Raw genomic sequence first — 24,485 nt, forward strand, 5'->3', positions numbered from 1 at the left:
AATCTCAGTGACTTTATTGCTTTTTCTTGGGTTATGGCTTCGTTTAGGAGATTCTTTGCCATGTTGAATAGAAGTGGTAGGGGTGGATACTCTTACCTGGTACTTAACTATAGGGGAAGACTTCAGTCATTCCCATTGGGACGTTAGCTATTGTATTAGTCCATTTTCATGCTGCTGCTAAAGACATACCTGAGATTGAGCAATTTATAAAAGAAAGAGGTTTAATTGAAGTACAGTTCACGTGGCTGGGGAAGTCACACAATCATGGTGGAAGGTAAGGAGGAGCAAGTCGCATCTTATGTGGATGGTGACAGGCAAAGAATGAAAGAGCTGGTGCAGGGGACTGTCTCTTTTTAAAACCATCAGATCTCATGAGACTTATTCACTATCACAAGAACAGCAGGGGAAAGACTTGCCCCTGTGATTCAATTATCTCCCACCAGATCCCTCCTGCAACACATGGGAGGGAATTCAAGATGAGATTTGGGTGGGGACACAGCCAAACCATATCAGCTATAAATTTTGTCATAATGTACTTTTCCCAGGTCAGAAACATTTCCTTTACTCCAGTTTGTTCAAACTTTTTATCTTGAAATAAGATTAAATATTGGTCACATTTTTTCTTCATCTATGAGATGATTAAATTATTTTTCTTCTTTAGTCTATTGATATTACAGATTATTTTATTGAATGCTTTTCTTTTATTGATGTTCATTTATACTTTTGATATTTTAATTAATTAATTAATTGATTTTTAAAAATTGATACATAATAGCTGTACATATTTTCATGGTCTATGTGATAATTTGATGCATTCATATAAATAATAAAATTAGGGTGACTGGGAAATATATCACCTTAAATATTCACCATTTCCTTATGTTATGGACATTCGAATTATTCTCTTCTAGCTATTTTGAAATGTACAATCAATTAATGTTAACTGTGGTCATTCAACTAATCTAATGAACACCCAGTCTTATCTATTTTATATGTATATTTGAAGCCATTAAGCCTCTCTGTACCTACCTCCCCACTTCCCATGCTAGCCTCCTATAACCACCAATTACTCTGTATCTTCATGACATATGGTTTTTTAGCCTCCAGATACAAGTGAGAACATGTGGTATTTGTTGCACTTAGCATAATGACCTTCACTTCCATCCATCTAGCTGCAAATGAGAGGATTTCATTCCTTTTATGGCTGAATAATATTTCATTGTGTATATATACCACATTTTCTTTTATCCATTAATCCACTGATGGATACTTAGTTTGATTCCATTTTGTCTATTGTGAATGATGCTACAATAAACATGAAAGTGCAGCTATCTCTTCGATATATGGATTTCCTTTTTTTCTTTTTTTGGATACATACCCAGTAGTGGAATAGCTGGATCACATGGTAGTTCTATTTTTAGTTTATTGAGGAACCATCATACTGTTTTCCCTAGTGGCTGTACTAACATTCCCACCAATCATATACTAGGCTTTCCCTTTCTCCATATTTAAGCCAGCATCCATTATTCCTTGTGTTTTTGATAAAAGAAATTCTAACTGGATTGAGATAATGTTTGATTGTGGGTTTGATTTGCATTTCTCTGATAATAAGTGATGTTGAGCATTTTTATCTGTTAGCAATTTGCATGTCTTCTTTTGAGAAATGTCTATTCATGTATTTTGCCCTTTGTTAAATCAGATTTTTTGTTTGTTTTGCTATTGAGTCATTTGAGCTCCTTATATCTGGTGGTTATTAATCCCATGTCAAATGGATAGTTTGTAACTATTTTCTCCCATTTTACAGGTTGTCTCTTCACTTTGTTGATTGTTTCTTTTCCTTTGCAGAAACTTTTTAGTTCAATGTGATCCCATTTGTCTATTTTTGCATTGATTGCCTGTGCTCTTGAGGTCTTATGCAAAATAATTTTGCTCAGATCAGTGTCCTGAAGTATTTTTGCAACATTTTCTTCTAGTAGTTTTATAGTTTTGAGTCATTTGTTTAGAACTTAAATCCACTTTGAGTTAATTTTTGCATATAGTTAGAGACAAGGGTCTGGTTTCATTTTTCTGCAGGTGATTATGCAGTTTTTCAAGCACCATTTATAAAGTGACTGTCCTCATTGTGTGTTCTTGGTAACTTTATCAAAAATGACTTGGCTGTAAATGCTTGGATTTATGTCTGGATCCTCAATTATGTTCCATTGATCTATGTGTCTATTTTTATGCCAGTACCATGCTGATTTGGTTGCTATAGCATTGTGATATATGTTGAAGTCAGGTAGTCCGATACTTCTAGCTTTGTTTTGCTCAGAATTGTTCTGGCTATTTGGGGCCTTTAGCATTTCTTTATAAATTTTAAAGTTGTTTTTCTACTTCTGTGAAGAATGTCATGGTATTTTGCAAGGATTGCATTGAATCTGTAAATTTCTTTAAATATTATTGTCATATTCCATACAATATTAATTATTTTAATCCATGAGCATGGAATATATTTCTGATTTTTTTGTCCCTTTCAATTTCTCTGATAAGAGAAATTGAAGTTTTCTAGTTTTTCTGGTATAAATCTTTTACATCTTTGAATACATTGATTCATAGGAAGTTTATATTTTTTCTAGCTATTGTAAATGGGGTTAGTTTTTTTTTAGACTTTTTGCTGTTGATATATGTAAGTGTGACTGATTTTTGTATGTTGACTTTGTATCCTGCAACATTGCTACATCCATTTATCAGTTCTAACTTTTTTTGGTGGAAACTTTAAGTTTTTCAAAATGTAAGATCATGTTGTCTGTATACAAAGTTGATCAGATATCTTCTTTTCTAATTTAGATGGCCTTTATTTCTTTTCCTTATGTAATTTCTCTGTCCAGTACTTCCAGTATTTTGCTGAATAAAAGTGGTGAAGAGTTGGGCATCTTTGTCTTGTTGAGGATCTTGGAAGAAAGACTTTCAGTTTGTCCCCCATTCAGTATGATGTTGGCTATGGATTTGTTATTTATGGCCTTTATTGTTATTATTATTATTATTTTGAGATAGGGTCTTGGTCTGCCACCCTGGCTGGAGTGCAATGGTGTGATCATGGCTCACTGCAGCCTTGACCTTCCAGGCTTAAGTGATCCTCCTGTCTCAGCCTCCTGAGTAGCTGGGACAACAGATGTTTGCCACCACAAAGTTTTTGTAAAGATGAGGCTTCAGTATGTTGCTCAGGCTGGTGTCAAACTCATAAGCTCAAGCAATTCTCCCACTTCGGCCTCCCAAAGTGTTATAATTGCAGGTAAGAGCCACTGCACCTGGCCTGGCCTTTACTATTTCGAAGTATGTTTCTTATATACCCAGTTTGTTGAGAGTTGTTTCCACAAAGGAACATTGAATTTTACCAAACACATTCTCAGTGACTATTGAAATGATCATATGTTTTTTGTTCTTAATTATGTTAATGTGATATGTTACATTTATTAATTTGCATATGGTGAATATCCTTGCATTTCTGGGAAGAAACCACTTGATCACGGTGAGTAATCTTTTTAATTCAGTTGTTGAATTCAGTTGGCCAGATTTGCTGAGGATTTTTGTATCTATGTTTATCAATGATATTGGCCTTGCCCTTATCTGGTTTTGGTATAAGGGTAATGCTGACCTCAAGGAATTAGTTTAACAGTATTACGTCTCTTCAATTATTTTGAAGAGTAGACTTGGTATTATTAGTTCTTCTTTAAATGTTTAACACAATTTAGCACTGAAGAAATCAGGTCTGGGATTTTCTTTGGTGGAATACTTTTTACAACTTCAATCTTGATACTCATCATTGCTTCACTGAGGTTTTCCATTTCTTCATGGCTTAATCTTGGTAGGTTGTATGTGTCCAAGAATTTATCCATGTCTTGTAGGTATTCAAATTTGTTGGTATATAGTTGTTCATAATAGTCTCTAATGACCCTTTGTATTTCTGTGGTCTCAGTTATGTCCCCTTTTTTGTGTCTGAATCTATTTGAGTCTTCTCCTTTCAGTTTCTTAGTCCATCTAAAGGCTTGTCAATTTTGTTTCTCTTTACAAAAAACCTTTTCATTTCATTGATTTTCTGTATTTTTTTATTGTCATGTATTTCTGCTTTGATCTTCATTAATTTTGTATGTCTTACAGGCAATCTATTTTTTTCATTCTTTTTTTCTCCACTGACTGTGTAATTTTAAATAGCCTGTCTGCAAGCACACTAATTCTTTCATCTCTTCATCAATTTTGCTATTGAGAACCTCCAATGAATTTTTCAGTTTAGCAAATGTATTTCTAAGTTGCAAGAATTTTTTTTTAAATTTCAATTGTTTTGTTAAATTTCTCTGATAAAGCTTCTAGATTGCTTTTCTGTTACCTTGGAGATCTCTGAGTTTCATTTACAACCGCTATTTTGAATTCTTGGTTAGAGTCCTCATGTATTGCCATCTCATTAGGGTCAGTCACTGGTTTCTTGTTTTGTTCATTGTAAGAGGTCATAGTTCCATGTTTGTTGCCATTTCTTGTGGATGTACATCTATGCCTTTGCATTAAAGAATTCATTATTTATGCCAATTGTCTATGTTTGACTTTTTTTTTATTGGATATGTTTTCTTAGAAGTTATTTGTAATTTAACTTTTGAATTTCTTACATTTTTTCCCACTAGGCCACTGTCTTCTTTTGGTATTATACAGCACCTTAAGCCAAGGTTTGCCTCCACTCTAGGAACCAATCAGAGTGGTGGGAAGTTCACAAATGGGATATCCCAGCCGTGTGGAAAGGCTTTCTAGGGATTTGTGCCCAGGGGATCTGTGGCACATACCTCTTATAGCATATTGCTGCTGAACGGCCACTCTAATTTGGCATCTCCTTTGGCCAAGGTACAGGGCAGAGTTTCCATGGCTGGGGATAGCAGTCCCACCTCTCCTCTTTGTTTCTGACCATTGTCAGGGATATATTTGCCTTTAGGCACTTATGATGCTTCCTGATTGGAGGAAGGGGCATCATGGATATGTAAATCTGATTCTCTTACCATCTCCTCAGAGCTTTTAATTTCTCTGTAGCTCTGGAAACTGACTTCCTCATATTTGAGTTTTGGGATATTGCTGGTGATAATCCCAGCACTGTATATTTGTTTTCTGTTTTCTCATGCTGGGGAGAGGTGAAACCAGCTTGGATCTATGCTGCCATTTTGGAACCAAAAGTCTCCATTGATTGATCTTCAGGTTTTTAACCAACCTTTATTGCTGGAAAAACCCTGTTTTGTCATAAAGTAATATATTTAGATGCTTTTGATTTCCACTTGTTAGCATTTCATTGAGAAATTTTACGTTTATTCAGGAGGTGTATGATCTGTTGTTTTATTTTTTCTCAGTGTCTTTGTCTAGTTTTGATATTGTGTTAATTGTGGTCACATAACATTAGTAGGGAGTATTTATTTTATTTCAATATTCTGTACTCTATTGTGTAGAATTGGTGTTGTTTCTCCCTTAAATATTTGGTAGAATTTGTCAGGGAAGTTATTCTTCTAAAGTTTTCATAGTGGGAGAATTTTCACTTACAAATTCTATTTCTTTCTGGGTTATCTAGTTCTCTAGAGGTATTTAATTTTTTTCTCATTTTAATATTTTTTGACTCATTGCAAGAAATTCCATTATGGTGTGTCTTGCGTGATTTTCTTCATATTACTTATACTTGAGGTTAATTGACCTGCTTGGGTATATGGGTTCATAGTTTTCATCAAATTTGAAAAAATTTAGCTCATTATTACTTGAAAGATTATTTGTCTCTCTCTTTTTTGCTCTTCAGTTGGTCAAATATTATGTCACTTGAAAATTTTGTCCCACAGTACATTAAAGAGTTGTTTATTTTAAAATTTTTTCTCTGTTTTGTTTTTAGGTGGTTTCATTTGCTATGTCTTCGGATAGCAAGGGATTTTGATAGATGGCATTACTATTCACTAACATGAATAAAATAGGGAACTCAGTATGTAAGGTTCTCAACTGTTTCAATCTCTTCAAGAGTGAATGACTGACTATACATTTACTTCTGCTAGGCCCAATTCCATTAGTTCATTTAAATTTAATGATCAGAAAAGAGGTTATCACATGAAGGGCCTATTCATTCAACAATTATTTATTGAATGCTATTGTATTTGATGCATTACACAGGTGATTCATGATACACAAAAACGTGTAATGCATTGTCCTTGTTCTCTAGAAACATATATTTTAGAAGAGATTAAAACAAGATTGCTAAAAATGTTTCAAAATTGTCTAACACTTTGGTGTTAGTTGTCAATTGTGAATTTAAGGAATTTTACTCCTATGATTAGGTTATATTACGTAGCAGAGCTGACATTGACATGGGGAGATTACCCAAGTGAGGCTGACTTAAATCACAGGAACCTTTTAAAAGCAGATTGTTTCCTCCAGCTGGTAAAAGACGATGAATCAGAGTGATTAGAAGAGTGAGATGGATCCACATGGGAGTTCTCTTACCTGATATCAAGGGGGCTATGGTAACAAGGACCTGGGTACATCCTTGAAGATCTGAGAGCGTTCCTGATTAATAGCCAGCAACAAAGTAGAAACTTTAGCCCTAAAAATGCAAGGGAGTAAATTTTACCAATAACATAAATGAGCTTGAAAATGGATCCTAAGCTCCAGATGACACCTTGATTACAGTCTGAGCAGAGAAGCCAACAACACTGTTGTGGAATTCTGACCTATAGAACTGTGATTTATAAGTGGGTGTTGTTTTGAGCTACTAAATTTATGGCACTTTTTAATGTTGTTATGGAAAACTATGCAAGCAGTATATAATAAATGTCATATGAAACTAGGACTACAATTGCACAGGGAAAAAAGATGACATGTCTGGCACTAATTGGGGACGGCTTTAGAGTTTATATGAAAGTTAGTAGATATTTAAAATTTGCAGTGGATTATAAAACATAAATCAGGCCAGGCGCGGTGGCTCATGCCTGTAATCCCAGCACTTTGGGAGGCTGAGGCAGGTGGATCACAGGTCAGGAGATTGAGACCATCCTGGCTAACATGGTGAAACTCCATCTTTACTAAAAATACAAAAAATTAGCTGGGCATGGTGGCAGGTGCCTGTAGTCCCAGCTACTTGGGAGGCTGAGGCAGGAGAACGGTGTGAACCTGGGAGGCAGAGTTTGCAGTGAGCCGAGATTGCGCTACTGCACTCCAGCCTGGGCGACAGAGCGAGACTCCATCACACACACACACACAAAACATAAATAGTAAAATTTTGGCAATTGGGTTAGCATAGTAACAGAACCAGAAAAATTAAAAAAAAACATTTTTGTTAGCTAGACCAAATTGTTCACAAAACTTACCAGTGAGTAAGACTTAGGATTAAGTTTCTTAAAGTATATCCTAGGGCGAGTTGTGCTAGAGTTGCTTAAAATATTTGCTAAAGTGTAGATTCTGGTGACTCTCACCAGACCAATTTAATGAGAATTTCTGATTCTGGATTTTTAAAAATATCTGTGTGTAATTCGTATGCTTACTAAAATTTATTTAAGATTAGCAACCTGAAGTATCAGGATGTGAAGTTTGGAAATATTTTTCTTTTTAAGTGTATTCTTTTCTGTTTAAGATTTGTTTTCTTTTTCCATTTATTTTCTTTTATTAATATATAATATTTTACATATATATGGGAGTACAGGTGAGTGTTTGCTACATGAATAGAATGTGTGATGATCAATTCAGGGTATCTGCTGTATCCACAACCTGAGTATTTTTACCAGTTTTTTTTTTTTTTTTTTTTTTGAGACAGAATCTTACTGTGTCACCCAGACTAGAGTGCAATGGCATGATCACAGCTAACTGCAGCCTCAACTTCCTAGGCTCAGTTGATTCTCCCACTTCAGCCTCCCAGGTAGCTGGGACTACGGACATGCATCATCTCGCCTGGCTAATTTTTTGTAAAGACAGGGTTTTGCCATGTTGCCCAGGCTGGTCTTGAACTCCTGAGCTCAAGCGATTCTCCCACCTTGGCTTCCCAAAGTGCTGGGATTACAGGCGTGAGCCACCATGCCCAGCTGAGTATTTACCATTCCCATGTTTTGGTATCATTTTAAGTCCTTTCTTCTAGTTACTTTGAAATATAGTAAATATTTCTGCTAAGTATAGTCACCTCAGTCTTCTATCAAACATTAGAGCTTATTTCTTCTATCTACAACTTCTTTTTGTTAGTGTAAGAGTTGATGTGATCAAACAACATTTTAAAAGTTTATTCCAATGATTAGATTTCAGACAGTTGGAAGAAGACAATGAACTAGTGAAAAATATAGGCTTCTGTAATAATAAAGTGAATGAAGTTTAGAACAGTGTAAACAAGATAATGTCCTAGTCTGGGTGCAATGGCTCATGCCTGTAATCCCAACACTTTGGGAGGCTGAGGTAGAAAGATCACCTGAAGCCAGGAGTTTGATACCAACCAGGGCTACAAAATAAGACCCTGTCTCTACAAAAAATAATTTAAAACTTAGCTGAGTGTTGTGGCATGCACATCTAGTCATGGTGGCTCAGGAGGCTGAGGCAGGAGGATCACTTGAGTCCAGGAGTTCAAGGCTGTAGTGAGTTGTGATTGCACCACCGCACTCCAGCCTCGATGACAGAGTGAGACCCTGTCTGTTAAAAAATAATAATAATAATAGATAATGGGATAGGAGTGTAAAGAAAGACAGGATGCTTCTTAGCAAAGTTACAAAAAATATTAATAGGTCTTTGTCGCAAATATATGTTTGCCTATGAGCTGAGAAGAGAAAATGAAAAAGTGAAAATAAGATTTCTCAAGGTACAACTTTGATGCAGTTCAGGTCAAACTTAGGTAAGATTTTGTTGTAGAGTTTGGGAAATAACCATTGTGGCAAGGCTGGAATGCAAATCGATTTTTTGCTGTTACAGAAACAGTAAATGAATTTATGGGATTTTATTTTAATTTAGTTAGCTTTTTATGAGGAGAATTGATCTTTGAGTTAATAATTCTGTTTCCATTGTATGCTTGTATTTATTAACCCTGATAACCCTGAAATTATTATCCATCTAGTATTTTCTTGGTGTTACCTTCAGAGTTGGAATTCATATGATATATATTGATTAACTGACAAATACACTTAGTATGACTTAAATTATAGATGGCATCAGTGATCATTTTCACACTAATTATTTGAGAGAAATATCTCTTAGCTTAAGATCAACACTTAAGCAGTATTGTCGTACATCGATAGAGTGCTAATGATAAAGTTTGTCTTCTATTTGCTTTTATTTAGTTACGTAACTGGAAAAATAGATGGGGGAATTGTGAGTAAAATTAAAAGTATTCATCTGTCATACTAATAGGTTAAGGTATAAATTAACTAGAATTTCAGTGTAATGCATTTCTACTGTTTCATGTAAATTTTTAAATGTTACTTCCTACAACTTTAAGGAGAAACTTTCTCTTACTGCATCACTGCCTCCTAATTAATATAGAAATATATTTTGTTATTTTGGACCCAACTGGTCAGCCACCACTGTGCTTTGATCTAAATCCTGCACCCCAGGAACCTGATTGAAACAGAGTTTCTCTTGCTTCCAAGTGAGATGCATGTCCCAGATGTTTACAGCGTCTAAGAAGCCAAAAAAAAAAAAAAAAAAAATCCAAAGAAAGAGAAAAAGAAGAATAAAGCTTTTATCTGACCAGGCTAGCAGAGAAAAAGCTTCAGAAGCAGGCAGGAAGTCATAATGGCCTGGTGCTGAAGATTCAATCGGAATATTTACAAGGCTAATCTTCAGAAGCTTAGGGAGTATGAAAAAAATCTCCTGTGCACATGCAGACTATTTCAGAGAAAACATTTGCAGTTTCACTGAATCAGTCTCCTAATCAAATTACTGTATCACTGAAGTATATACACGTGTGATGTTTATTCAATCAGCTTTAATATTAATGGCCTCTATAAAGAGCTGCATGATATAGAAATTGGTAACAGAGTAAATCCATTGATAAATGTTGGTAAATCATACCAGGCACAGTGGCTCACACTGTAATCCCAGCACTTTGGGAGGCTTAGGCAGAAGGATAATTAGAGCCTGGGAGTTCAAGACCAGCCTGGGCAACTTGGTGAGACCCTGTCTCTACAAAAAAAATTATCAGAGCTTGGCGTGCACACCGGTAGTCCCAGCTACTCAGGAGGCTGTGGCGGGAGGATCACTTGAGCCCTGGAGGTTAAGGCTTCAGTGAGCCATGTTTGCACAACTGCACTCCAGCCTGGGTGACAGACTGACATTCTGCCTCTAAAAAAGAAGAAAACTTCACATTTACACACACACAAAAATCAGGGCTTATTATATTCAGCACTGAAGATATTCTGTGAAACATTATTTTACAAGTTGATAGGATTACCTGATTAATTTCATGTAATTTTTTTACTTTTATTTTTCAACTTTCTAGCAAAATCTGTCCTCTTTTTTATTTTATTTTATTCATTTTTTTAAAGAGATGGGGTCCTGCTTTGTCACGCAGGTTGAAGTGAAGTGGCGAGATCATAGCTCAGTGCAGCCTTGGACTCTGGGCTCAAGCAATCCTCCTGCCTCAGCCTCTCAAAGTGAGAGGATTTACAACAGCCATGAGCCCCCACGCCCAGCTCTCTCTTTTTAATCCTTTCCTTGTCCTTTTACCAAAACCACCTTAATGTTTTGTCAGTTTTTCTCCGGACTATTGCCTACTATTATTCTTTACCTGGATTTCTTCAATACCTTCCAACATATCTTGCCTTGACTGCTTCCTCCTGACTATAAAGTATTCTCTTCAAAGGAAATATTAGAGCATGGCATTCTTTGCTTCTGACTTTTCAATAGATTCCCATATCCATTGAGATAAAAAATACAATACAGAATCATTGCATTTTCTTATAAGGAAACTGGTGAATCTCTTCTGAACACTGTTCTTGCATGTTATACCAAACCTTCATTGTCCATTCTCAGTCCAAGTCAGCATTGTTTGTTAGAATCCTTATACTTCACCCTGCCAGTGGTCTATCAATGTCCCATATGGCCTGGAATCCTGCAGTTTTCATTCTGACCTCATTCTTCTCTCATCCCCCCAAACACACACATACACACATACACCTAGTTCTATACTATTCATGCATATTTCATATACCAGGTCCAATGCTCCTATCACAATTAACCTTCACCAATTCTTCCAAACTAAGTCAGATCCCAATATGCTGTGTTTATAGTATTCTGTCTTCTGAGTCTTATTACAGTTTTTACACTCTACATTTGTTATCTGATTAATTTTTGTCTGTTCTTCCAGGAAGAGTATATCCCATGTAGATGGAGAAGATACTTGCTTTTCCTAATACTTAATTAGCAGCTTGTAACACAAGGTCTAGCGTAAGTAATAGTTCATAGATTAATATATAAGTAATTAATTCTGGCAATGGATTACTTTTCAGTTATGTGAGTTAGATTTGTCTTAATAAAACAAATGAATTAATGAAAAGTATATACATATAAATAAATATAGGTAATATAATGTTGCCCTACTTTTTAGATTTTATTTTGTCTTTACTGATCTATGAAGCAATTCATTATTTCTGCATTTCTATATTCCAAAATGGAATGAAATTGCTATACTTTCTTTACAAAGTTTCTTATTTGCATCATGATACACCAGGTTTATTCAACTTTCTATAAGAAATATGAAGGCATGAATTTTTCATTTTTTGATAGTCCTAATACACTTGGGAGTACATGTTCTGCAAAAGGATGAAAAAGAAAATGTAATTTGGAAAGAGAAAAAAAGGAAGAAAGTGATCAGAAATAATGGTCTTTCTCTGTTGCATTTCCTGGGAATATAGGTTGTAATGGCATTTCGGGAAACTTAGTCTAAAGCAACTGCCTCATTTTACAGATGAAATTATGGAATACAAATTTTAAGTGCCAAGTTTATCCAGTTAAATAGTGCAGAAAGTAACTTTAAGGTTTAATGCTTTTTTCACTCTACCAATTAAACAACCTGAAAAAATTAGTAAAAGCACACAAATAGCAAAGACCTAATCCATGAATGAATTCCTCTATGGTAACGAAATTAATGAATTCCAGAGAAATTGTCCGTTTCATACCTCATCACTGAAAAGGCCTTGGTTTTATAATATAAGTAACAATACTATAACGAAGAGTTCATCAACCTGTAATTTCTTAGGTGCATTTCAATAAGTCATTATACATTCTTGGGGCTTCATCTTTCTTTTCAAACATTTAGAGTTAATTAATGTACATAAACTAACATTCTGTTCACTACTGAATTGATTTCAAAAAACCTGAGGCTTTTTCTCCACACTATAATGGAAACAAAATGAGGATAGTTGTTTTTAGCCATTAACATCTTTACCTGGTTACGCTAGTAATGGGTACCCAAAGTTATGGCTACAATGGAGCATAGATTGAGCCTCAATTATTGAAAATCAATTTTTATGCTTGGAAAAACAATGATCAAAAGTAAACCCCTTCACATATGAGAAACCAGGTGATATGCTGTCATATTTTGAGTAAGAATACTTGGCAATACAGAAAAGGTAGCTAAGGAACCTGTCAACATAGATTTAGCACCTCCTCTCAACAGCTTAGTAGCCTGTAATTCAAAGAGTAAATAAACTGCTCTCTCATATATACACTTTTGTGAGCTCTTACGCTAAGGACTTTAGCTAGATTCTTTAAAACAGATGCCCGTAATTCCAGGACTTTGGGAGGCCAAGGCGGGCGGATCACCTGAGGTCAGGAGTTCGAGACCAGCCTGGCTAACATGGTGAAACCCCGTCTCTACTAAAAGTACCAAAGTTAGCCAGGCGTGGTGGTGGTCACCTGTAATCCCAGCTACTCAGGAGGCTGAGGCAGGAGAATTGGTTGAACCCAGGAGGCGGAGGTTGCAGAGAGCAGAGATCGTGCCACTGTACTCCAGCCTGGGCGAAAAGAACGAGACTCTGTCTCAAAAAAAAAAAAAAAAAAAAGAATTGAAAGTACACACTATAAGCATACAAAGACTTAATTCATGCTTTTTGGGTTAATGTTTGTATAAATTGATTCTTTCAGAAAGAGAAAATTTCCTAAATGTTGATGGATTAATTTGCCATTATTGATATGTTTACAAGTAATAACTTTTATTGAATATTAACTATTAGGCACTGCAGAAAACATTAGTTCTTACCATAAGATTACATGGTAATAAACACTCTTATTTTTCTACTGTATAATGAGGAGACTGTGTGATGGCAGAGGTCTCAGGTGGCCCCCAACTTATCCTGATAGTATAAAGACACTGAATATTGCTTGGGACAGAGAATATGATGGATTTTACTCCTGTGATTAGGTTATATTATATAATACACCAGACTTTAAGATAGAGAGATTATCTAAATCCTTCAACTATTGCTGTTATGAAAAAGTTTCTATTCTCATCACCATTTCTTTTGAAATATTTAGATTATTTAACCTCTCTGCATTGCAAACCTACTGTGTTAGGTATTGCCACATATGCAGTAGGATAAATACAAAAGATTGCCAATCACAGAGCTATTATTATTAGTGTACTGTAACACTTAACACAACAAATAATTTTATGTGTTGAGCCTCTCCAAGAAGCCTGAATAATTTCACTAATATCTCAAATTTTCCTCTTTGAACTTTTGTTGAACTCCTTACTTTCCTAGAAATTTAACAATTGTAGTAGAGATATATTTAATGATTAAGTCATCCAGTGTGATTGCTACCTTATGCATTTTTCACTTTTTATTTATTTATTTGCTTTAAATTTCCATAGGCTTTTGGGGAACAGGTGATGTTTGGTTACATGAATGGGTACACGGTACACTGCTGCGGTGATGGGTGCACCAAAATCTCAGAAATCACTACTAAAGTACTTATTAATGTGTTGTCTTTTATCCTTCACCACACCCCACCATTTCCCCCAAGTCCCCAAAATCGAAAGTATTATTGTTATGCCTTTGCGTCCTCATAGCTTAGCTCCCACATATGAGTAAGAACATACAATGTTTGGTTTTCCATTCCTGAACTACTTCACTGAGAATAATATTCTACAATTCCATCCAGGTTGCTGCGAATGCCATTATTTTGTTCCTTTGTATGGTGTATTCCATGGTGTATGTATGTATGCGTATATGTATACGCATACATACATATATACATGTACGTGTATATGTACCAAATTTTCTTTGTCCATTTGCTGATTGATGAGCATTTGAGCTGGTTCCATATTTTTGTAGTTGCAAATTGTGCTGCTATAAACATGCATGTGCAAGTATATTTTTTTGTAGAATTACTTCTTTTCCTCTGGGTAGATACCTAGTAGTGGGATTGCTGCATAAAACAGCAGATCTACTCTTAGTTCTTTAAGGAATCTTTGCACTGTTTTCCATATGGCTGTACTAGTTTACATTTCCACCAACAGTGTAAAAGTGTTACCTTTTCACTGCATTCACGCCAACATCTATTATTTTCTGATTTTTTTTATTATGCCCATTCTTGCAGGAGTGAGATGGTATCGCATTGTGGTTTTGATTTGCATTTCCCTGATAATTAGTGAGGTTGAGCATTTTGCCATATGCTTGTTGGCCATTTGTATATCTTCTTTTGAGGATTGTCTATTCATGTCCTTAGCCCGCTTTTGGATGGAATTGTTTATTTTTTTCTTGCTGATTTGTTTGAGTTCTTTGCAGATTCCTTTGTCAGATGAAAAAACTGTGAAGATTTTCTCCCGCTCTATGGGTTGTCCATTAATTCTGCTGATTATTTCTTTTGCCATGCAGAAGCTTTTTAGTTTAATTAAGTCCCATCTATTTATCTTTGTTTCTGTTGTGTTTGCTTTTGGGCTCTTAATCACGAAGTCTTTGCCTAAGCCAGTGTCTAGAATGGTTTTCCAGTATTATCTCCTAGAATCTTTATAGTTTCAAGTCTTATATTTAAGTCTTTGATCCATCTTGAGTTGATTTTTTATGGGGTGAAAGAGGAGGATCCAGTTTCATTCTTCTACATGTGGCTAGCCAATTATCCCAGCACCGTTTGTTGAATAGAGTGTCCTTTCACCACTTTATGTTTTTGTTTGCTTTGTCGAAGAGCAGTTGGCTGTAAGTATTTGGGTTTATTTCTGGGTCCTCTGTTCTGTTTCATTGGTCTATGTGCCTATTTTTATATCAGTACCATGCTGTTTTGGTAACTATGGCTTAGGGCATAGTTTGAAGTTGGGTAATGTGATACTTCCAGATTTGTCCTTTTTGCTTAGTCTTGCTTTGGCTATGTGGGCTCTTTTTTGGTTCCATATGAATTTTAGGATTATTTTTTCTAGTTCTGTGAAGAATGATGGTAGTATTTTGGTAGGAATTATATTGAATTTTTAGGTTGCTTTTGCAGTATGGTCATTTTTGCAACATTGATTCTACCCATTCATGAGCATGGGATGTGTTTCCATTTGTTTGTGTCATCTATGATTTATTTCAGCAGTGTTTTGTAGTTTTCCTTGCAGAGGTCTTTCATGTCCTTGGTTAGGTATATTCCTAAGTATTTTATTTTATTTTATTTGCAGCTATTGTGAAAGGGGTTGAGTTTTTCTGATTCTCAGCTTGGTCACTGTTGGTGTATAGCAGAGCTACTGATTTGGGTACCTTAATTTTGTATCCAGAAACTTTTCTGAATTCATTTACCAATTTTAGGAGCTTTTTAGATAAGTCTTTAGGGTTTTCTAGGTATACTGTCATACCATCAACAAATAGCAACAGGTTGACTTCCTCGTTACAGATTTGGATGCCCTTTATTTCCTTGTCTTGTCTGATTGCTTTGGCTAGGAATTCCAGTACTGTCTTAAATAGAAGTAGTGAAAGTGGGCATTCTTGTCTTGTTCCTGTTCTCAGGGGGAATGCTTTCCACTTTTCCCCATTCAGTATTATGGGTTTGTCATAGATGGCTTTTATTACCTTAAGGTATATCTCTTTAATCTGATTTTGCTGAGGGTTTTAATCATAAAAGGATACTGGATTTTGTAAAATGCTTTTTCTGCATCTATTGAGATGATCATGTGATTTTTGTTTTTAATTGTTTATGGAGTTTATCACATTTATTGACTTACATACGTTAAATGATCCCTGAATCCCTGGAATGAAACCCGCTTGATCGTGTGGAATTTTTTTTTTTTTTTTTTTTTTTTTGATGTGCTGTTGGATTTGGTCAGCTAGTATTTTCTTGAGGATTTTTACATCTATGTTCATCAGGGATATTGGTCTATAGTTTTCTTTTTTTGTTATGTTCTTTTCTGGTTTTGGTATTAGGGTGATACTGGGTTCATAGAATGATTTAGGAAGGATTCCCCCTTCTTATGATCTTTTGGAATAGTGTCAATATAATTGGTACCAATACTTCTTTGAATATCTGATAGAATTCAGCTGTGAATCTGTCTGATCCTGGACTTTTTTTTTGTTGGCAGTTTTTTTTTTATTACCATTTCAATCTTGCTGCTTGTTATTGTCTATTCAGAAATTCTGTACCTTCCTGATTTAATCTAGGAGAGTTGTATATTTCCAGGAATTTATTAATCTCCTCTAGGTTTTTCTGTTTATGCATGTAAAGGTGTTTATAGTAGCCTTGAATAATCTTGTGCATTTCTGTAGTATCAGTTGTAATATCTCCTATTTCATTTCTAATTAATCTTATTTGGATCTTATTTCATTTCCGATTGATCTTATTTAGCTCTTCTCCTCTTCTTGGTTAATCTCACTACTGGTCTATCAATTCTATTTATCTTTTCAAAGAGGCAGATTTTTGTTTCATTTATCTTTTGTATTGTTTTTTGTTGTTGTTGTTTCAATTTCATTTAGTTTTGCTCTGGTCTTCATTATTTCTTTACTTCTGCTGGGTTTGGGATTGGTTTGTTCTTATTTCTCTAGCTCTAGAGGTGTGACCTTAGATTGTCCATCTGTATTCTTTTAGACTTTTTGATGTAGGCATTTAATGCTATTATTAAAAGAAATTAAATTTTGGGACCCCAAACTCATTTGGCCAAAGAGAAAAGTCAAGCTGGGAACTGGTTCACACAAATCTGCCTCCCTTTTAGGTTTCTAAATAAGATGACTCCAAGATGAAAAGCAACATGCCTCCCCGATATGTTGCCCACAAGGAAATGCCTGGTGAGCTTTAAAACTTCACCTTGACGATGCAAATTGATAGCTTATCTTTACAGGTGCAGTCACTCTAGCCCGCCAGACACAAATGTATATCTGATTGTTCCCCTACCCCATTTTGTCTGGGTTATCTTATGTAAAATGCAGATTCTCCACATTTTTCCTCTGCTCCTTTTGTTTATATGAAAACTGTATGCTTCTCAATATACCATCTTTTCCCCTTTAAATTTGGAGCCCTCAAAATCATCTTCGGAGAAAGGCATAGAATTGTCTCCCAGGGGTGTCCTTAATTTTGGCAAATAAATTTCCTAAAATGATTGAGGCTTTTCTTGTCATTTTCCTAGATTGACGCTATGAACTTTTCTCTTAGCAACGCTTTTCCTGTATCCCAGATGTTTTGATAAATTGTGTCACTATTACCGTTCAGTTCAAAGAATTTTTTTTTTTTTTGAGACAGAGTATTGCCCTGTCGCCCAGGCTGGAGTGCAGTGGCACAATTTCAGTTCACCACAACCTCCGCCTCCCAGGTTCAAGTAATTCTCGTGCCTCAGCCTCCCAAGTAGATGGAACTACAGGCATGCACCACCACGCCAGGCTAATTTTTGTATTTTTAGTAGAGATGAGGTTTCACTATGTTGGCCGGGCTGGTCTCGAATTCCTGAGCTCAGGTTATCTGCCCAGCTCAGCCTACAAAAGCGCTGGGATTTCATGCATGAGCCACCGCACCCATCCCAGTTCAAATAATTTTTAAATTATCATCTTGATTTCATTGCTGACCCAACAATCATTCAGGAGCAGGTTACTTAACTTCATGTATTTACATGATTTTGAGTGTTCCTTTTGGAGTTGATTACCAATTTTATTCCACTGTGGTCTGAGAGAGTACTTGATATAATTTCTATTTTCTTAAATGTACTGAGACCAGTTTTGTGGTTTATTATATGGTCTATCTTGGAGAATGTTCCATGTGCTGATGAATAGAATGTATGTTCTATAGTTGTTGGGTAAAATGTTCTGTAAATATCAGTTAAGTCCATTTGTTGTACTGTATAGTTTAAGTCCATTGTTTCTTTTTTGACTTTCTGTCATGATGACCTGTCTAGTGCTGTCAGTGGAGTGGTATTAAAGTCCTCCACTATTATTGTGTTGCCATCTATGTCATTTCTTAGATCTAGTAGTAATTGTTTTATAAATTTGGGAACTTCAGTGTTAGATGCCTATATATTTAGAATTGTGATATTTTTCTGTTGGACAAGTCTTTTTATCATTATATAATGTCCCTCTTTGTCTTTTTTAAACAGATGTAGCTTTAAAGTTTGTTTTGTCTGACAAGAATAGCTACTCCTGCTCGCTTTCGGTGTCCATTTGCATGGAATATCTTTTTCCACCCTTTACCTTAAGTTTATGTGAATCCTTATGTGTTAAGTTAGTCTCCTGAAGACAGCAAAAATTTGCTTGGTGAATTCTTATCCATCCTGCCATTCTGTATCTTTTAAGTGGAGCATATAGGCCGTTTACATGCAATGTTCGTATTAAGATGTGAGGTACTATTCTATTCATCATGCTATTTGTTGCCTGAATACCTTGTTTTTTTTTTTTCATTGTGCTATGTCTCATAGGTCCTGTAAGATTTATGGTTTAAGGATGTTCTATTTTGGTGTATTTTGAGGATTTGTTTCAAGAATTAGAGCTCCTTTTAGCAGTTGTTGTAGTCCTGGCTTGGTAGTGGTGAATTCTCTCAGCATTTGTTTGTCTGGAAAAGACCGTATCTTTTCTTCATTTATGAAACTTGGAGTCACTGGTTACAAAATTCTTGGCTGATAATTGTTTTGTTTAAGGAGGCTACATGTAAGACTCCAATCCCTTCTAGCTTATAGGGTTTCTGCTAAGAAATCTGCTGTTAATCTGATAGGTTTTCCTTTATAGGTTACCTGATGCTTTTGCCCTCACATAGCTCTTAAGATTCTTTCCTTCATCTTGATTTCAGATAATCTGATGAGTATGTGCCTAGGTGAGGATCTTTTTGTGATGAATTTCCAGGTATATTTTGAGCTTCTTATATTTGGATGTCTAGATATTTAGCAAGGCTGGGGAAGCTTTCCTCAATTATTCCCTCAAATATGTTTCCAAAGTTTTGGACTTCTCTTCTTCCTCTGGAACACCAATTATTCTTAGGTTTGGACATTTAACATAGTCCCAAACTTCTTGAAGCCTTTGCTCATTTAAAAAATTTTTTTTTCTTTGTCTTTGATGGATTAAGTTAATTTGAAAGCCTTGTCTTAAAGCCCTGAACTTCTTTCTTCTGCTTGTTCAATTCTATTGCCGAGACTTGCTAGTGCATTTTGCATTTCTCTAAGTGTGTCCTTGATTTCCAGAAGTTGTGATTGTTTTTTATTTATGCTCCCTATTTCACTGAAGAATTTTTCTTTCATATCCTTTATCATGTTTTGGATTTCTTTAAGTTGGACTTTACCTTTTTCTGGTTTCTCCTTGACTAGGTTAATAATTGACCTTCTGAGTTCTTTTTCTGGCAATTGAGAGATTTCATCTTGATTTGGACCCATTGCTGGTGAGCTGGTATAATCTTTTGGGATGTTAAAGAACCTTGTTTTGTCATATTACCAGAATTGTCTTTTTGGCTCCTTCTTATTTGCTTAGACTATGTCAGAGGGAAGATCTGGGTTCAAGGGCAGCTGTTCAGATTCTTTTGTCCCATAGGGTGCTCCCTTGATGTGGTGTTCTCCCCCTTCCTCTAGGAATGTGGCTTCCTGAGAGCAAAACTTTAGTAATTGTTTTTGCTCTTCTGGGTCTCGCCACCCAGCAGAGCTACCAGTGGAGGTACCAGCTCCAGGCTGGTACTGGGGAGTGTCTGCAAAGAGTCCTGTTATGTGATCCGTCTTCAGGTCTTACAGCCATGGATACCTGCACCTGCTCTGGTGGAGACAGCAGAAGTAAAGTGGACTCTTTAAAGGTCCTTGGTTGTGTTTTTGTATAGTGCACTGGTTTCGTGTTGGTTGGTCTCCAGCCAGGAGCTGGCACTTTCAAGAGTGTATCAACTGCAATCCTATAGGGAGGATTCTGACATGCACTAGGATTCTCAGGTGGTGGGCAGGGCCATAGAGTCCCCAAGAGATTATGACCTTTGTCTTCAGCTACCAGGGCAGGTAGCAAAAGACCACCAGGTGTCGGAAGGGATAGGCGTGTTTGAGCTCTGCTTCTCATTGGGTGGGGCTTGCTGCTGCTGCTGTGGAGGATGGGGTGTTGTTCCTAGTCCAATGGAGCTATGTTCCCAGGGGATTATGGCTGCCTCTGCTGAGTCATACAGGTCACCAGGGAAGTGGGGGAAAGCCAGCAGTCACTGGCCTCACTAGATTCCTATGCAACCAACATTCCTAAAGGCCGGTCTCACTCCCACCATGACCTGTCAACAGCATCAAGTCTATTTCCAGGCAGCCTGTGACCAGGGCTGAGAACTTGCTCTGGACCATGAGCCTCCCTATTGAGAAAGCAAGCCAACTCAGTTTTTTGGCCACTTGGGGAGCCTGCAGTGGTGATCCATTTCATTCAAAGGGTCTGTAGATTCTCTCAGCTTTCCTGGTATGTTCCTGTGGTAGTTCTTGTAGCCAAAGTTTACAATGTAAGACTCCACACACTGCTCTGTCCTTCCAAGTGGGAGCTGCAAGCCAGTCCTGCCTCCTATTCTCCATCTTTATCTGGAGTCCTACTTCATGCATTTTTCATCAGATACAAATGTTACTCATGGGATAACTAGATTGATGGTATTCCCATAGATTATGGTGAAATTACTTAAGAATTGTTGGCTAATACTGAATATTGCCAAATGGCTGTGGGAAATCTAAAGAGGACAAAATAAAATATATGCATATCTATGAATGTTCTCTGTCAAAAGATAAAATGAACAAACAAAATAAAATAAATAAGAATAATTAGCAACTTTGAAATTTTTGCTTTGCAGAAGGGAGGAATAGCCTGGCTATCACGTGAGGAGATTCATGAATATAATGACAATATTAAAATGAGGAATTCTTAACATTTTATATCTTCCTTGAATAAGAACACAAAGAAAAGCTATCTATGTAATTAAAATGTAATCAAACCCTCCCAACTATTATATAAAATAGGTTAAAGAATACTTGGAATATTTAAGCATACGCAAATTTAAAAAGCGGGATACTCATAGGAAGAAAATCAATAAATTGAGGTAGTCATTTGTAATTGTTTTTGAAAAATTGTGCAGGATTGAAGAAATAGTATAAACTTAATTAATTTATTTATTTATTTATTTTAGCCATTTTAGGTGGTAGGAAGTGATAGCCCATTGTGATTTTGACTTTTTATTTTTAAATTTTTTTGAGACAGAGTCTTGCTCTGTCACCCAGGCTGGAGTGCAGTGGTATGATCTTGGCTTACTGCAACCTCCACCTCCCAGGTGATTCTCCTGCTTCAGCCTCCTGAGTAGCTGGGATTACAAGTATGTGCCATCACGCCCTGCTAATTTTTGTATTTTTAGTAGAGATGGGGTTTTGCCATGTTGGCCAGGCTGGTCTTGAACTCCAGACCTCAAGTAATCCACTTGCCTCAGCCTCCCAGAGTGCTGGGATTACAGGCCTGAGCCACCACGCCTGGTCAGAAATAGTATAAACTTTAAATAAAGGGTATCACTGATCCCATAAAGGTACAAACTGCAATAAAATTATCCTATTTTTTCTGGTAGCAAATGGTCATTAAACACAATTTATGAAACTTACGAAAAAATATTTACAAATACAGTAAAAACTTTTTAAATATTGTATAGGATTATTTAAAGTATACAGTCATGTGTCACTGATGGGGATGCACTCTGAGAAATGCATATTTCTGAGAAATGCATCATTAACCACTTTTGGCTTTTTTAAACTTTAAAACATCAATTAAAAATGTATTAGGCAATTTTGTTTTGTAAATATCATAGAATGTACTTACACAACTCTAGATGATATAGCCTACTACACTCCTAGGCTATATGATATAGCCTATTGCTCCTAGGTTACAAACCTATACAGCATGTTACTGTACTGAATGCTGTAGGCAATTTTAACACAATGGTAAGTATTTATGTATCTAAACATATGTAAACATGGAAAAGGTACAGTGAAAATATGGGATGATAACTTAATGGCACCACCACTGAATATGCAGTGTGTTGACTAAAATGTCATTATACATGTATACATGACAGTATATCCATTTTGTGAGTTAATCATGTCACATTTGATTTTTAACTTTAGTCATATCCAATTAAGAAGACAACATTTGGCATATGATTCAGCTGATAAATTGATTGAATACAATTATAATGATATCAATATGATGTCTATAAATTAATGTCTATTTGGATCACCTGTATAATTTTCTCATTCATTAAGTGTTAACTAAATGATTTAAGATGTCTAAATTTCTTATGTTTATATAATAATTATTTTTATCACCAAAATATTACTAATGGAAAATAAAAACAAATATCTTGTTCAATTTTACGTATATGGCACTTTTACCTGAGACAATAACTAATAGTATGTTAAATTTGACCAGTGTCTGTTTAAGCAGAGTAAAATTCACTTATCCAAAGATCTTAACAAATACTGACCATGAGAATAAAATCTTTTAATTTCTTTTTCTTTTCTTTTTTTTTTTTTTTTGAGATGGAGTCTCACTCTGTTGCCCAGGCTGGAGTGCAGTGGCACAATCTCTGCTTACTGCAAATTCTGCCTCTCAGGTTCAAGCAATTCCTGCCTCAGCCTCCCAAGTAGCAGGGATTACAGGTGCCCACCACCATGCCTGGCTAATTTCTGTATTTTTTAGTGGAGTCGGGGTTTTGCCACGTTGGCCAGGCTGGTCTTGAACTCGTGACCCCAAGTGATCCACCCACTTCAGCCTCCCAAAGGGTTGGGATTACAGCTGTGAGCCACCGCACCCGGCCTAATTTCTTAAACCCACTTTTTCAGCATTTGGAATCTTGGGTTTTGGGTGGATGCCTTCAAAAAAACATTCATATCGGTTTTTGATACTAGGTAATATATTTCCTCTCTCCTTTCTTCCTCCCTTCCTGCTATCCTTTCTGTTTCTTTCCTTTTTTTTTCTGTTTGTAATATTTATGCACTTTTATATCTTCTAACTAGATTAAAGCAAAATAGTCACTGAACTCTTTAGATGGTGGCAAAGAACATATTCTGTGAGACTGAAACCCTCTTATCCTTAATTTTTGTAAAAATTTTTATTTATTTTAAAGTAAATAAATGGATTCTACTTTGTACTTTGTGTATTTCTAGAAGGCGTCATTCATTTTCCATTAATGTATTTTCTTTCTTGATTAAAAAAAATGACTTGGACTTCTGCTCCAACATGATTTCTAAAGGAGATTTAAGAAAATATAATACATGATTTTATAGAAAACTATAAAATACGTTCATAGTTTATTGCTGTAAGAAAAGAAATACATCACAAACTGAATATTTTTACTATGATATGTGCATACATAAATATATAAACTATATGCATACTATTTATAGAAAATATACAGTATGTATGGTATATAGAGCATATATAATATATACATGGTTATAAGACAATTCAAACATAATATCTGACAAAAGCATGAATAAAAATTTTTTTTAAAAATCCATTTACAAGTACAAAAAATATACAAGGAAAAAGAAAAAGACATTGAAGATTTAAGATCAAAATTTTTACCTTGATTGTCTCTATATAGTGATCATCTTCTTTTACTTTCAATTTATTACTTTTTCAAATTTTTTAAGGTTTCTAAACAGTGAATTATTCATATTTTTAAAAAGATTAAAGTAAAAGAAATATTTATGAATTTTGTAAGAAAAATCCAACCTTTTCAAAGAAAGAGTATATAATATTTATAATTTAATACCTCAGATCTCAATTAAATAAAAGACCTGTATCATCCTTCTTCCTGACTCTAAATACTTATTAACATTTCAAAAGTTTGCCTTAACTTTTGAGAAGTTGGATCAAACTATCATTAATATAGAACTTTTCTTGAAACCAATCAAAAGTACTTCTATTGTTTCTTATAATATTGTCATAACTAAAATTTTTCCAATTTTAATAGCATGTAATGTACATACAATAAAATTAATTTTTTTTAGTATGTGGTACTTGGTAGTCAGTCCCTTTCCTCATTCTGTCCCTGTTAATCACTGACCTATTTTATTTTCCTATAGTTTTGGCTTTTATAGAATGTCATGTAAATGTAATTATAAAGTA

The 24,485-nt window shown here is 35.4% G+C and overlaps 1 long non-coding RNA gene across 6 annotated transcripts in view; it reads left to right on the forward strand.

Moving 5' to 3' along the window:
• The window catches only part of LOC124902439 (uncharacterized), an 820,351-nt gene that overhangs the window by 789,116 nt on the left and 6,750 nt on the right, over positions 1 to 24,485 (forward strand). The window contains exon 1 of one of the 6 annotated variants that reach the window (XR_007062168.1): positions 11,316 to 11,397. The exons of the other annotated variants lie outside the window; for them this stretch is intronic. This is a non-coding gene — a long non-coding RNA (uncharacterized LOC124902439). Of the gene's footprint in view, positions 1 to 11,315; positions 11,398 to 24,485 lie in introns of those variants that run through there. 6 annotated transcript variants of the gene reach the window in all.

Source organism: Homo sapiens, chromosome 10, assembly GCF_000001405.40.
Source record: "Homo sapiens chromosome 10, GRCh38.p14 Primary Assembly".
In the NCBI taxonomy this organism is placed as follows: domain Eukaryota; kingdom Metazoa; phylum Chordata; class Mammalia; order Primates; family Hominidae; genus Homo; species Homo sapiens.